Source organism: Homo sapiens, chromosome 9 (assembly GCF_000001405.40).
Source record: "Homo sapiens chromosome 9, GRCh38.p14 Primary Assembly".
In the NCBI taxonomy this organism is placed as follows: domain Eukaryota; kingdom Metazoa; phylum Chordata; class Mammalia; order Primates; family Hominidae; genus Homo; species Homo sapiens.
Genome location: NC_000009.12, coordinates 36,531,621 through 36,548,508, shown reverse-complemented (window position 1 = coordinate 36,548,508; position 16,888 = coordinate 36,531,621).

Here is a 16,888-nt window from a genome sequence, read left to right as displayed (position 1 = left end):
TGCTTCCTTCCTAGGGTCTGTGGGTTCTCTCAGCTTTCCTGATCTATTCCTGCAGTACTTCTGGAGCAAAAGTTCACGATGCGAGAGGCTGCACACTGCTCTGTCCGTCCAAGTGGGAGCTGCAATCTAGTCCTGCCTCCCCACTGCCATGATCCCTCCCTACTCGACAGTTGTGTATCTTGATTATAATGGTAATTATACAAAGCTAGGCATGTGGTAATGTTATATAAAGCAAGACACATACACACACACTAATGACTGCAAGTATAATGGGTGAAGTCTGAACAAGTGATGAGGATTATACCAATGTTGGTTTCCTATCTGAATAGGCTCTGTGCATTGTACCAATGTTGATTTCCTGGTTTTGATATTGCACTGTAGCCATGGAAGATATTAACATTGAGGGAGAATGGAGTGAAGGGTGCAGTGGAACTTCCTGGACATTTCTTTGGAAGTTCCTGTGAATCTATAATTATTCCCCCCAAAAAATGTTTACAAAATATTGAGACGCTATAAGCACGTAATGGGGGAGGGCAGGGATGCCACACTCTCTTCATAGCAAATAATTGCTTTGTGTCTTTTAGGATTTTCCACTGTATCACCAGAGATTCCTGTAAGATAAAAATCTGTTTATAATGATCTGAGCTGATTCTGTTTTACATACACGCCCCCACTCCACATACACACAAAGAGAAGTATTTTTGCATGGTTTTAACATTCACCGAATTTTCCAGGAACCAAACTGCTGTGTAAATGTAAGAAAAATGTACTTTGTTTGGTTGGGAACCTTACCAAGTGTTGTTGACCATTTTGGGAAATCAAATTGTTTTTGGCCATGCATCTACTAGAATGTGAGTGTCAGTACAACCTTCCTGGGTCACTACATTTGTAATTGCAAATGCACATGCAGGCCAGCGTGGTGGCTCACGCCTGTCATCCCAGCACTTTGGGAGGCTGAGGCAGGCAGATCACTTGAAGTCAGGAACTCAAGACCAGCCTGGCCAACATGGTGAAACCCCGTCTCTAGTAAAAATACAAAAATGAGCCGGACATGGTGGCACATGCCTATAATCCCAGGTACTCAGGAGGCTGAGGCAGAATTGCTTGAACCTGGGAGGTGGAGGTTGCAGTAAGCCAAGATCGTGCCACTGCACTCCAGCCTGGGAGCAGAGTGAGACTCCATCTCAAACAAACAACAAAAAACAAATGCACATGCAAGTAGGTAACAGAGAAGATTCAAAACTCCTTTTAACAGACTTAGAACCAAATACCAATTATTAAATTGGCAGAGTAATGACATGGAAATACCATTAAATTTCGTTAGTAAGGGTTATTTTATGAAAAGCTAATGTTTTTGCCACGTTATAATTTTGACACAATGCTAAAAAATATTATTGAAATGTACTTATTAAACCATTTAGTTAAGTTTTCCATGTATTTCAACTTTGATACATTTCCCATGGGTCTTCATCACAATTTCTCTCTAGCAGTGCTATCCCATAGGAATATAATGCAAGCCATATTATAATTTTAAATTTTCTTTCTTTCTTTTTTTTTTTTTTGAGATGGAGTCTCCCTCTGTCGCCCAAGCTGGCATGCAGTGGCACGATCTTGGCTCACTGCAACCTCCGCCTCCTGGGTTCAAACTTTAAATTTTCTAGTAGCCATATTAAAAAGTTTTCTTTAAAAGGTGAATTAATTTTGATATTTTATTTAACCCAATAGATACATAATATGATTTCAACACGTAATCACTTAGAAAAAAAAAATTGTTTTTGAGATAAAATCTCACTTTGTCGTCCAGGTTGGCGTACAGTGGTACAAATACAGCTCACTGCAGTCTCAAACTCCTGGGCTCAGGTGATCCTCCCCACTCAGCATACTGATTAGCTGGGACCAGAGGTATGTGCCACCATGCCCAGCTGATTTAAAAAAATATATTTGTAGATATGAGCCCAGGTTGGTCTCAAACTTCTGAGCTCAAGCAATCCTCCTGCCTCAGGTTCCCAAAGTGCGGGGATTACAGGTGTGAGCCACCGTGTCTGGCAGAAAAAATTATTAATGAAGTATTCTATATTTTTTTATTTTTATTTTATTAATTTTTTTTTGGAAAGGGAGTTTTGCTCTTGTTGCCCAGGCTGGAGTACAATGGCGGGATCTCAGCTCACCACAACCTCAGCCTCCCTGGTTCAAGTGATTCTCCTGCCTCAGCCTCCTGAGTAGCTGGGATTACAAGCATATGCCACCATGCCTGGCTAATTTTGTATTTTTAGTAGAGACGGGATTGCTCCATGTTGGTCAGGCTGGTCTCAAACTCCCGACCTCAAGTGATCTGCCCTCCTCAGCCTCCCAAAGTGCTGGGATTACAGGCGTGAGCCACCATGCCTGGCCTATACTTTTCTTTTCTTCCTTCCTTTCTTTTTTTTTTTTGAGATGGAGTCTCGCTCTGTCGCCCAGGCTGGAGTGCTGTGGCGCAATCTCGGCTCACTGCAGCAAGCTCCACCTCCCGGGTTCACGCCATTCTGCCTCAGCCTCCCTAGTAGCTGGGACTACAGGCGCCCGCCACCACACCCGGCTAATTTTTTGTATTTTTAGTAGACATGGGGTTTCACCATGTTAGCCAGGATGTTCTTGATCTCCTGACTGGTGATCCACCAGCCTCGGCCTCCCAAAGTGCTGAGATTACAGGCGTGAGCCACCGCACCCGGCCGCCTATTCTTTTTTATATTAAGTGTTTGAAATTGGAGCCGGGTGCGGTGGCTCACGCCTGTAATCCCAGCACTTTGGGAGGCTGAGGCGAGCGGGTCACCTGAGGTCAGGAGTTCGAGACCAGCCTGACCAACATGGAGAAACCTCATCTCTACTAAAAATACAAAATTACCCGGGCGTGGTGGAACTTGCCTGTAATCCCAGTTACTAGGGAGGCTGAGGCAGGACAATCGCTTGAACCTGGGAGGTGGAAGTTGTGGTGAGGTGAGATCATGCCATTGCAGTCCAGCCTGGGCAACAAGAGCAAAACTCCGCCTCAAAAAAAAAAAAAAGGAAAAAAAAAAAAGAAATTGGATATGTGCTTTACACTTATAACACAACTCAATTTAGACTAGCTTTGCTCAATAGCCATATATGGCCAGTAGTTACTATATTAGACAGCATAGTTCCATAGCTTTATATATTTATCCATCTTCTCCTTTGACCTATCAAGAGATACAGTCTCTTAAATCTATTTTTTTTTTTTTTGAGATGGTCTCTCACTCTGTCACCAGGTTGGAGTGCAGTGGTGCTATCTCGGCTCACTGCAACCTCTGCCTCCCGGGTTCAAGCGATTCTCCTGCCTCAGCCTCCCGAGTAGCTGGGACCACAGGCATGCACCACCATGCCTGGCTAATTTTTGTATTTTTAGTAGAGATGAGGTTTTACTGTGTTGGTCAGGCTGGTCTCAATCTCTTGACCTCGTGATCCACCCACCTCGGCCTCCCAAATTGCTGGGATTACAGGCGTGAGCCACCGCGCCCAGCTTAAAACTTTTTAATTAATAGATACTCAATATATGCCTCTACATAAGGTAGAATTTTAAAATAGGAGACTTGGGTGTTATATTATCCTTATGTTTGTGAAAACAAATGGAAATATCATACTTTCTCATTTTTTTCAATTTGACATCTAAAATTTGCTTTGGTACGTGCTACCCCTCCTTCAATTAAATGTTTTTTTCCTTAGCTGGGTGCCTGTAGTCCCAGCTACATGGGAGGCTGAGGCAAGAGGATCGCTTGAGCCCAGGAGTTGCAGGCTGCAGTGAGCTATGACTGCACCACTGCACCCCAGCCTGAGCAACAGAGCGAGATCCTGTCTCTAAAAATAATAAAATAGGCCGGGCGTGGTGGCTCACACCTGTAATCCCAGCACTTTGGGAGGCCGAGGTGAGTGGATCACGAGGTCAGGAGTTCAAGACCATCCTGAGCAACATGGTGAAACCCCGTCTCTACTAAAAATACAAAAATTAGCCACGCATGGTGGTGCACACCTGTAATCCCAGCTACTCAGGAGGCTGCGGCAGAAGAATCTCTTGAGCCTGGGCGGCAGAGGCTGCAGTGAGCCAAGATCATGCCACTGCACTCCAGCCTGGACTACAGAGCAAGATTCCGTCTCAAAAAATAAATAAATAAAAATAAAAATAATAAAATGTAGATTTAAAAAAATACCCCGGATGCGTTTGTGCCACTGCATGCCAGCATGGTGACAGAGCGAGACTCAGTCTCAAAAAAAAAAAAGAACCGCAGGCCTCAGCAGGCCTCGAGGCTAAGACTGGACTCCATGCCAACACATCCATTGCAGCTGGGAAACTGGCCTACAAAAGGAATTCTGGAGAAAGACCTGCCAAGCCCATTTGTTCAGCCTTATGAAATTCTTCTGACCACTCCCATGGTTGTACTTTGTGCAGACCACCCACATGGATACACATATCTCATTGCAGGCCTGCCTGGAGACAAGCCACAGCCACATGAAAACCACCAAAACAAGGCACTCGTGAATCCTTGGCAAGTCGCAGGTACCAGTTAGGAACACAATAGCCTGGAAGGGAACTCCTAAGTTTTCACTGTTCTGTGGTGACATTAGCTTGGAAAAAGAAGTAACATTCATAACTAAGAGATGCCACAGTAAAGTATTCTTGGAGAACTGTGTGATAGAGGATGAATAACCCTAGGACTAACCCCCTGAATTGGGAAAATGCTGAGCAAACCTTGACTGTAGGATTCCCTGTAACAGTGGCTTGCTGCTGCCTACCAGCAAGGTCTTGCTTGCCCCCACTCACCTTCTCCATCATATAGTGATGATGAACAGCAATAATCCATAGCAAGGCATATTCATGCCATATGAATGCATAAGTACCAACAGGTGGATTTGTTCACCCATAGAGGAAGAATACAGTGAGGAAAGCAGCCCATCTGGAATAAATCAGTGCTGCATAGCTGCCCGCCTTGGCCTCCCAAAGTGCTGGGATTACAGGCGTGAGCCAACGTGCCCGGCCTATTTTATTATTATTATTATTATTATTATTGAGACAAAATCTCGATTCATCGCCCAGGCTAGAATGCAGTGGCGTGATCTTGGCTAACTGCAACCTCTGCCTCCCGGGTTCAAGTGATTCTTGTGTCTCACCCTCCCAAGTAGCTGGGATTACAGGCACTCGCCACCACATCAGCCAATTTTCTTTTTTTTTTTTTGAGACGGAGTCTTGCCCTGTCGTGCAGGCTGGAGTGCAATGGCATGATCTTGGCTCACTGCAACCTCTGCCTTACAGGTTCAAGTGATTCTCCTGTTCCAGCTTCCTGAGGAGCTAGGATTACAGGCACCCGTCATCATGCCGGCTAATTTTTGTTTTTGTTTTTGTTTTTTTGAGACGGAGTCTCGTTCTGTCGCCCAGGCTGGAGTGCAGTGGCGCGATCTCGGCTCACTGCAAGCTCCGCCTCCCGGGTTCACGCCATTCTCCTGCCTCAGCCTCCGAGTAGCTGGGTTTACAGGCGCCCGCCACCACGCCCTGCTAATTTTTTTTGTATTTTTTTAGTAGAGACGGGGTTTCACCGTGTTAGCCAGGATGGTCTCGATCTCCTGAACACGTGATCCACCCGCCTTGGCCTCCCAAAGTGCTGGGATTACAGGCTTGAGCCACTGCGCCCGGCTAATTTTTGTGTTTTTGTAGAGACAGGGTTTCACCATGTTGGCCAGGCTGGTCTCGGACTCCTGACCTCAGGTGATCTGCCTGCCTCGGCCTCCCAATGTGCTGGCATTACAGGCGTGAGCCACCACGCCTGGCCACAAATTTCTTCTTCAAGAAATGAGACTTTATTTCAGGCTGGGCGCTATGCACAGTCACAGGAAATTCAGGCTGCTATCGAAGGTTCTACCTGCTGAGCTTCTCAAGCTCCTCTGTGCATTAGCACCACTAGGAGGGCCTGTTGCAATGCTGACTGTTGGGCTCCACTCCCAAAGTTCCTGATTCCGTGAGTCTGGGACAAAGCTAGAGAATTTACACTTCAAACAAGCTTCCAGGTGATGGTGATGCTGCAAGTCTGGGAACAAGACTTTGGGAACCAGGAGCCTAGATTTATCTATCACACAGCCATTTATTACTTGCGGCTTTAACCAGGAAGGGGGTCAGCCCTCTACATTCAGATTACCCAAACAAATTAAAAGTTCTGTTATTTACTACTATTTAGTCTTTATCTCCCAGGGAAAGTGGGTAGACAGGGTTCATTCTTAGTGAAAGACTCATAATATCTATGCATCCCTCAATTCCCCAATTCTTCTCCTTCCCCATTCAGAGAATTTTTTTTTATATATATACTTTAAGTTCTAGGGTACAAGTGCACAATGTGCAGGTTTGTTACATATGTATACATGTGCCCTGTTGGTGTGCTGCACCCGTTAACTCGTCATTTACATTAGGTATATCTCCTAATGCTATCCCTCCCTGCTCCCCCCACCCCATGACAGGCCCCGGTGTGTGATGTTCCCCACCCTGTGTCCAAGTGTTCTCATTGTTCAATTCCCACCTATGAGTGAGAGCATGCAGTGTTTGGTTTTCTGTCCTTGCGATAGTTTGCTCAGAATGATGGTTTCCAGCTTCATCCAAGTCCCTACAAAGGACATGAACTCATCCTTTTCTATGGCTGCATAGTATTTCATGGTGTATATGTGCCACATTTTCTTAATCCAGTCTATCACTGATGGACATTTGGGTTGGTTTCAAGTCTTTGCTATTGTGAATAGTGCCGCAATAAACATATGTGTGCATGTGTCTTTATAGCAGCATGATTCATAATCCTTTGGGTATATACCCAGTAATGGGTTGGCTGGGTCAAATGGTATTTCTAGTTCTAGATCCTTTTTTTGTTTTGTTTTGAGACGGAGTCTCGCTCTGTCCCCCAGGCTGGAGTGCAGTGGCATGATCTCAGCTCACTGCAAGCTCCATCTCCCGGGTTCACGCCATTCTCCTGCCTCAGCCTCCCAAGTAGCTGGGACTACAGGCACCTGCCACCACGTCTGGCTAATTTTTTGTATTTTCAGTAGAGACGGGGGTTTCACCATGTTAGCCAGGATGGTCTCGATCTCCTGACCTCGTGATCCACCCGCCTCGGCCTCCAAAAGTGCTGGGATTATAGGTGTGAGCCACCGCGCCCGGCCTCTAGTTCTAGATCCTTAAGGAATCGCCACACTATCTTTCACAATCATTGAACTAGTTTACAGTCCCACCAACAGTGTAAAAGTGTTCCTATTTCTCCACATCCTCTCCAGCACCTGTTGTTTCCTGACTCAGAGAATCTTTATCTAAACCACAGGGCAGCAAATCTATTCCATAAAGATCCAAATAGGGTTGGGTGCGGTGGCTCATGCTTGTAATCCCAGCAGTTTGAGAGGCTGAGGTGAGCAGATCACCTGAGGTCGGGAGTTTGAGACCAGCCTGACCAACATGGAGGAACCCCGTCTCTTCTAAAAATACAAAATTAGCCGGGCGTGGTGGTACGTATGCCTGTAATCACAGCTACTCGGGAGGCTGAGGCAGGAGAATCGCTTGAACCAGGAGGCAGAGGTTGTGGTGAGCCGAGATCAAGGCATTGTGCTCCAGTCTGGGCAACAAAAGCAAAACTCTGACTCAAAAAAAAAAAAAAATACTTGGGGCTCTAACCAGGAAGCGGGTCAGCCCTCTGCATTCAGATTACCCAAACAAATTAGAAGTTCTGTTATTTACTACTATTTAGTCTTTATCTCCCAGGGCTTGGCTTAGTGGGAAAGTGGGTAGACGGGGCTCATTCTTAGTGAAAGACTCGATCTATGCATTCCTCAATTCCCCAATTCTTCTCTTCTCCCATTCAGAGAATCTTTATCTAAATCACAGGGCAGCAAATCTATTCCATAAAGATCCAAATAGGGTTGGGTGAGGTGGCTCATGCCTGTAATCTCAGCATTTGGGAGGTCAAAGTGGGAGGATCTCTGGAGCCCAGGAGTTGAGACCAGCCTGGGCAATATAGTGAAACCCCAAAAAAATCTGAATAGTGGATATTTCAGGTTTTGTGGGCCATGAAGTTTCTGTTATAATTACTCAATTCTGCATTTGTATGCAAAAGCAATGATAAAGAATAAGTAAATGAACAAGCATGGCTGTCTTCAAATAAAAAATGTATTTATGGACACTGAAATTTGATTTTCATGTAATTATTATTACTCTCATTTTGATTTTCTTCATTAATTTAAATATATTAGAACCATTCTTAGCTCTCAGGCTTTACAAAAAACAGGCAATAGACTGGATCTGGCCCACAGGAAGGATGTGGCCTACTAGTCATAGTTTGCTGACCCCTGGCCCTACATCATAATCTCTGTACAACCTTTTTCAAATTTGAAATCTGGCTTTTTGGGGATAGAACTTGGAAGCAAATTACAAGTACATGAGATGTCTCCATATCAGCTTAAGACAATAAATAAAGAGGACTCTTACATCTCATTTTAACTGCTGGGTAAATGTGTCTAGAACTATGATAGCTAAATTCTTATTTCAAACATGATTATTATAGATGAGATGGGGCCTTGAGAAAATTATAGAGACTGGATAGTGATCATCAGGGTCTACATTCTAAAGTTTTTGTTGTTGTTGTTGTTTGTTTTTTGAGATGGAGTCTTGCTCTTGTCACCCAGGCTGGAGTGCAATGGCATGATCTCGGCTCACTGCAACCTCTGCCTCCCAGGTTCAAGCAATTTTCCTGCCTCAGCCCCTCCCGAGTATCTGGGATTACAGGCACCTGCCACCATGCCTGGCTAATTTTTGTATTTTTAGTAGAGATGGGGTTTCGGCATGTTGGCCAGGCTGGTCTCAAACTCCTGAACTTGTGATCCGCCCACCTTGGCCTCTCAGAGTGCTGGGATTACAGGCGTGAGCCACTGCGCCTGGCCACATTCTATAGTTTGATACTTGATGTTGATAAAGAGCTAAAAATCTTCAGCTCCCCCAGTTTATCTATGTGGGAAAAAAAACACCTAATTTAAAGTTTGGTTTAAATTAACTTGATAGTTTCACAAAATAGCATAGCATATGCTTAATAATCAGTGAATGTCCTTCCAGAACAGTGATTTTCAACTTTCACTGCATATTACAATCACCTGGAAAGCTTTTACAATTCCAAATGCCCAGACTGAACGTCCACCAATTAAACCAGAATTTGGGACCAAGAATTCCCCAGGTGGTTCTTATTAGCATCCAGGGTTATAAATCACTACTGTAGTGTAAGATTCAGGAGTTCTGCTCTTTGCCCAGGTGCGCTGTGTTGTGCCCAACACCAAAAGACCCGATTTGCAACACTTGTATAGTCCTGTGTAGCCTAACTCCTAAGTAGGTGCAGATCCTTCGAATTATAGACACCTGGCCTTTCTTCCTGCCTTGAACCTGTATGCCAGGGCATGTGAATTCAAGATGGGCTTCTGGGTTCTGTATACGTCACCTTGGCAACAAAGTAGGCTCCAAGTACAAATCAATGAGAAAGACAGTAAAGGACGTGAACAGACACTTCACAAAAGAAGATATATAAATAAGCACATAGAGGCCGGGCGCAGTGGCTCACGCCTGTAATCCCAGCACTTTGGGAGGCCGAGGCAGGCGGATCATGAGGTCAGGAGATCGAGACCATCCTGGCTAACACGGTGAAACCCCGTCTCTATTAAAAATACAAAAAATTAGCCAGGCGTGGCGGCAGGCGCCTGTAGTCCCAGCTACTTGGGAGGCTGAGGCAGGAGAATGGCATGAACCCGGGAGGTGGAGCTTGCAGTGAGCCAAGATCACGCCACTGCCCGCTAGCCTGGGCGACAGAACGAGACTCCACTCTGTCTAAAAAAAAAGAAAAGAAAGGAGCAGGGGAATGACAGAATTTTTGGAGTGACAGAAATGTATCAGGTCCTGGAAGACCATAATTTTGTACAATGTGGCTCACTTATAAATTTTTTTTTTTTTTGAGACAAGGTCTCTCTTTGTCACCCAGGCTGGGGTGCAGTGGCCTGATCACAGCTCACTGCAGCCTCGACAATCAAGGCCTCAAGTGATCCTCCCACCTCAGCCTCCCGAGTAGCTGGGACTATAGGCACAGGCCACCACACCCGGGTAATTTTTGTATATTTTGTACAGACAGGATCTCACTATGTTGCCCAGGCTGATCTTGAACTCCTGAAATCAAGCGATCCTCCCACCTTAGCCTCCCAAAGTGCTGGAAATATAGAGGCATGAGCCACTGAGCCTGGCCTGGTTTCCTTATAACTTAGATGAGGGAAAAAAAAAGAAAAGCTTCCCGGCAGGGGCCCTGCCTGTGTGGAATTTGCACACTCTCCCATGTCTGTGTGGGTTTCCTTCAGGTACTGTGGTTTCCTCCCACATCCCAAAGCAAATGCTGTTGATTAATCAGCGTGGGTTCATTGCATGTCTAAATTGTCTTGGTCTGAGTGAGTGTGGGTGTGTGTGCAGGTGTGTGTGAGAGTGTGCTCTACAACAGGATAGTGTCCAGTCCAGGGCAGGTTCCAGCCCTGTGCTATGACCTGCCGAGCTAGGCTCTGGCTACCCGCAACCTTGAACTGGAATAAGTGGGTTAGAAAATGAATAAATGGGCCAGGAGCAGTGGCTCACACCTGTAATCCCAGCACTTTGGGAGGCCAAGGCAGGCGGATCACGAGGTCAGGAGATCGAGACCACAGTGAAACCCCATCTCTACTAAAAATACAATAAATTAGCAGGGCAGGGTGGCAGGTGCCTGTAGTACCAGCTACTCGGGAGGCTGAGGCAAGAGAATGGCGTGAACCCAGGAGGTGGAGCTTGCAGTGAGCCAAGATCGCGCCACTGCACTCCAGCCTGGGTGACAGAGCGAGACTTCGTCTCAAAAAAAAAAAAAAAAGAAAAGAAAATGAATAAATGAATGCAAATTTTTGTACAATAAAAAATTCATAAAGTATACAACAATCACACAGATGTGTGACAATAAATGATATAGTATGAAAGTATTCAGCGAGGCCGGGCGTGGTGGCTTACGCCTATAATCCCAGCACTTTTGGAGGCCGAGGCGGGTGAATCACGAGGTCAGGAGTTTGAGACCAGCCTGGCCAATATGGTGAAACCCCGTCTCTACTAAAAATACAGAAAATTAGCTGAGTGTAGTGGCAGGCACCTGTAATCCAGTGACTCAAGTGGCTGAGGCAGGAGAATCACTTGAAACCGGGATGCAAAGTTTGCAGTGAGCTGAGATCGCGACTGTACACCAGGCGACAGAGTGAGACTCCGTCTCCAAAAAAAAAAAAAAAAGAAGAAACTACTTAGCAAGCCGACCATATTTGTGATTGTTTTTGAACTGCATGATTGTAGGAAGCACTCCTTACAATTTTCCCTTTCTAAGCATTTATTCCATGACTTAACCCACCACCACTACAACTGCCATCACTCAGATATACCAAAACTTGGGTAAATAATTATCTTTCTTGTTTATATTGATCTTTTCCGAGCTCACATTTATTTCCATTTCTACTATTGGAAGTGATTTGGGATTTGGGGCTGGGCACAGTGGCTCACGCCTGTAATCTCAGCATTTTGGAAGGCCAAGGCAGGTGGATCACATGAGGTCAGGAGTTCGAGACCAGCCTGGCCAACGTGGTGAAACCCTGTCTCTACTAAAAATACAAAAATTAGCCAGGCATGGTGGCACACACCTGAAATCCCAGCTACTCAGGAGGCTGAGGTGGGAGAATCACTTGAACCCCAGAGGTGGAGGTTGCTGTGAACTGAGATTGTGCCATTGCACTCCAGCCTGGGTGACAGAGACTCCCTCTCAGAAAAAAAAAAAAAAAAAAAGAAGTGATTTGGGTCTTTCAAGGTAGCTCACACCATGGGTGGCTCACCCAAAGTACTCCCAGCACTTTGGGAGGCCGAGGCAGGTGGATCACCTGAGGTCAGAAGTTTGAGACCAGCCTGACCAACATGGCGAAACCCTGTCTCTACTAAAAATACAAAAATTAGCTGGGTGTGGTGGTGTGCACCTGTAGTCCCAGCTACTCAGGAGGCTGAGGCAGGAGAATTGCTTGAATTGGGGATGCAGAGGTTGCAGTGAGCTGAGATTGTGCCACTGCACTCCCGCCTGGACGACAAAGTGAGACCCCATCTCAAAAAAAAAAAAAAAAAAAAAAACCAGCGTGGGAAAGACTTGCCCCCATGACTCAATTACTTCCCACTGGGTCCTTCCCACAACACATGGGAATCCAAGAAGAGATTTGGGTGGGGACACAGCCAAACATATCATTCCACACCTGGCCCCTCCCAAATCTCATGTCTTCACATTTCAAAACCCATCATGCCTTCTCAACAGTCCGCCAAAGTCTTAACTCATTTCAGCATTAACTTAAAAGTTCATGGTCCAAAGTCTCGTCTGAGGTGGACCTTCCTGCCTCGTCTGAGGCAAGTCCCTTCCACCTATGAGCCTGTAAAATTAAAAAGCAGGTTAGTTACTTCCTAGATACAATGGGGGTACAGGCATTGGGTAAATACAGCCATTCCAAATGGGAGAAATTGGCCAAAACAAAGGGGCTACAGGCCCCATGCAAGTCAGAAATCCAGCAGGGCAGTCAAATCTTAAAGCTCCAAATTGATCTCCTTTGACTCCATGTCTTACATCCAGGTCATGTTGATGCAAGAGGTGGGTTCCTATGGTCTTGGGAAGCTCTGCTTCTGTGGCTTTGCAGGGTATAGCTTCCCTTCCGGCTGCTTTCACCAACTGGCTTTGAGTGTCTGTGGCTTTTCCAGGTGCACAGTGCAAGCTGTTTGTGGATCTACCATTCTGGGGTCTAGAGGATGGTGGCCCTCTTCTCAAAGCTCCACTAGGCAATGCTCCAGTAGGGACTCTGTGTGGGGGCTCTGACCCCACATTTCCCTTCCTCGCTGCCCTAGCAGAGGTTCTCCATGAGGGCCCGTCCGTGCAGCAAATTTCTGCCTAGACATCCAGGTGTTTCCATACATCTTCTGAAATCTAGGTGGAGGTTCCCAAACCTCAATTCTTGACTTCTGTGTACCCGCAGACTTGACACCACATGGAAGCTGCCAAGCCTTGGGGTGTCCACCCTCTGAAGCCTTTTTCCTCCTAGGCTCTTGGGCCTGTGATGGGTGGGGCTTCCCTGAAGACCTCTGTCATGCCCTGGAGATGTTTTCCCCATTGTCCTGGAGATTAACATTCTGCTCCTTGTTACTTATGCAAATTTCTGCAGCTAGCTTGAATTTCTCCTCAGAAAATGGTATTTTCTTTACTATTGGATTGTCAGACTGCAAATTTTATGAATTTTAATGCTCTGCTTCCCTTATAAAACTCAGTGCAGGCTGGGTGCAGTGGCTCACGCCTGTAATCCCAACACTTTGGGGGACCGAGGGGGTTGGATCACCTGAAGTCAGGAGTTTGAGGCCAGCCTGGCCACCATAGTGAAACCCCATCTCTACTAAAAATAAAAATCAGCTGGATGTGGTGGTGGGCGCCTGTAATCCCAGCTACTTGGTAGGTTGAGGCAGGAGAATCGCTTCAACCCAGGAGGTGGAGGTTGTAGTGAGCTGAGATCACACCATGGCACTCCAGCCTGGCAACAGAGCAAGACTCCATTTCAAAAAAAAAAAAAAAAACACTGAATGCTTTTGGGCTGGGTGCAGTGGCTCACACGTGTAATCGCAGCACTCAGGGAGGCCAAGGTGGGTGGGTTACCTGAGGTTAGGAGTTTCAGACCAGCCTGACCAATATGGTGAAACCCTGTCTCTACTAAAAAAACAAAAATTGCCAGGTGTGGTGGCACACCCCTGTAGTCCCAGCTACTCAGGAGGCTGAGACAGGAGAATTGCTTGAATCCGAGAGGCAGAAGTTTCAGTGAGCTGAAGTCACATCATTGCACTCCAGCCTGGGCGACAGAGTGAGATTTTGTCTCCAGAAAAAAAAAAAAAAGAAAAGAAAAGAAAAAAAACTGAATATACTAGCAGCCCCCAAATCACCTCTTGAATGCTTTGCTGCTTAGAAATTTCTTCCACCAGACACCCTAAATCATCTCTCTCAAGTTCAAAGTTCCACAAATCTCTAGGGCAGGGGCAAAATGCTGCCCGTCTCTTTGCTAAAACATAACAAGAGTCACCTTTGCTCCAGTTCCCAATAAGTTCCTCATCTCTATCTGACACCACCTCAGCCTGGACCTTATTGTTCATATCACTATTAGCATTTTTGTCAAAGCTGTACAACAAGTCTCTAGGGAGTTCCAAACTTTCCCACATTTTTCAGTTTTCTTCTCAGCCCTCCAAAGTGTTCCAACCTCTGCCTGCTACCCAGTTCCAAAGTCACTTCCACATTTTCAAGTATCTTTTCAGAAACGCCCCACTCTACTGGTACCAATTTACTGTACTAGTCTATTTTCATACTGCTGATAAAGGCATACCAGAGACTGGGCAATTTACAAAAGAAAGAGGTTAATTGGAGTTACAGTTCTGCATGGGTGGGGAAACCTCATGATCACGGTGGAAGGCAAGGAAGAGCAAGTCACATCTTACATGGATGGCAGCAGGCAAAGAAAGAGAGCTTGTGCAGGGGAATTCCTCTTTTAAAACCATCAGATCGGCTGGGCACAGTGGCTCACGCCTGTAATCACAGCATTTTGGGAGGCTGAGGCAGGCGGATCATGAGGTCAGGAGATCGAGACCATCCTGGCTAACACAGTGGAACCCCATCTCTACTAAAAATACAAAAAAAATTAGCCAGGCGTGGCGGCAGGCACCTGTAGTCCCAGTTCCTCGGGAGGCTGAGGGGCTGAGGCAGGAGAATGGCATGAACCCGGGAGGTGGGGCTTGCAGTGAGCCGAGATTGTGCCACCGCACTCCAGCCTGGCGACAGAACAAGACTCCATCTAAAAAAAAAAAAAACCGTCAGATCTTGTGAGACTTATTCAGTATCACAAGAACAGCTCAGGAAAGACTTGCCCCCCCAGGGGCCAGGTGCGGTGGCTCATGCCTGTAATCCCAGCACTTTGGGAGGCCGAGGTAGGCAGATCACGAGGTCAAGAGATCGAGACCATCCTGGCCAACATGGTGAAACTCCATCTCTATTAAAAATACAAAAATTAGCTGGGCATGGTGGCATGCGCCTGTAGTCCCAGCTACTTTGGAGGCTGAGGCAGGAGGATGCCTTGAACCTGGGAGGCAGAGGTTGCAGCGAGCCGAGATCGCACCACTGCACTCCAGCCTGGGAGACAGAGCAAGACTCCGTCTTGGGAAAAAAAAAAAAAAGACTTGTTCCCATGATACAATTACCTCCCACTAGGTCTCTCCCACAACCTGTGGGAATTCAAGATGAGATTTGGGTGGGCACACAGCCAAACCATATCATCCCAAGTGAATACAACTGTTAAAACTCACAGGACAGTATACTTGAGATCTATGCATTTTACTGTATATAAATTATACTTCAATTTACTGTCTGGGCACAGCAGCTCACATCTGTAATCCCAGTACTTTGAGAGGCTGAGGTGAGCAGATCACTTGAGGTCAGAAGTTCAAGACCAGCCTGGCCAACATGGTAAAAACCCATCTCTACTAAAAATACAAAAATTAGCCGAGCATGGGGGCACAAGCCTGTAGTCCCAGCTACTCAGGAGGCTGAGGCAGGAGAATCGCTTGAACCCGGGAAGTGGAGATTGCAGTGAGCCAAGATTCCGCCATTGCACTCCAGCCTAGGTAACAGAGTGAGACTCTGTCTCAAAAAGAAAAAAAAAAAACTTGAATTTAAAAATCATAAAAGAAAAAGGCTGTGGGCCCTACAACTCATCATTGATCATCATTGATCCTTCACTACAGAAGGTCTCTGTACTTTGGCTGAGATGAGAATGGGCACAGGCACTGAGGAGCACTCTGACCACAGCTGGTGCTCCAGAGTTTCTTCCCCACGAGGGCAAACACCTAGAGGTGGCACAGGGAAGGAGAGTTGGGAGAATATCACGTAGTGCAGTCAGCAAGCATCACAGTTTTGCTGGACCCTGGGGGATGTAAAGGGGAGCATTGGGAAACAGATGTGGCAAGGAGACCCTCGAATGCCAGGCTGAAGGGCTTTATCTGTATCAGAGGCAATGAAGTCTGCTGGAGTTTTTGAGCAGAGAATGCTTCTGAAATAAATGCTTTCCTGAGGGTTTTATTGATTCACCTTTGATTCCTTCTTAATGCCTTTTGGAATTCTGAGAAATTCACAAAGCCAGTTAGTAAAGACCCTCCTCCAGAATTATATCAAACTCATAACCTTTAGTCCTCTGATGATCCCCAGAAGCCTGAATAGTGACTGTCAGCTTTGGTTTAAGACTTATTGTATCCTTTTCTAAGACCAGGGAGAGGCCTTCATGGAACTTGTTCAGAGTCCAGAGTATCTACCTTTCTAATTCCATTTTTCTCACCTCCTGCTCGCTTCTTATACGCTGCAATCTTATTTCCCATTCCACTATTCTTCTTCTTTGTCTTCGTCTTCTTTTTTTTTTCTTTTTTTTATTTTTTAGATGGCATCTCGCTCTGTCACCCAGGCTAGAGAGTGCAGTGGCATGATCTTCACTCACTGCAGTGTCCGCCTCCCGGGTTGAAGCCATTCTGCTGCCTCAGCCTCCCGAGTGGCTGGGATTACAGGTGCATGCCACCACACCAGGCTAATTTTTTGTATTTTTAGTAGAGATGGGTTTCACCACATTGGCCGGGCTGGTCTCGAAGTCCTGACCTCAGGTGATCCGCCTGCCTCAGCCTCCCACAGTGCTGGGATTACAGGCATGAGTTGTGATGCCCAGCCTCTACTATTCTTCTTAAACCACTCTCACGCAGAATACC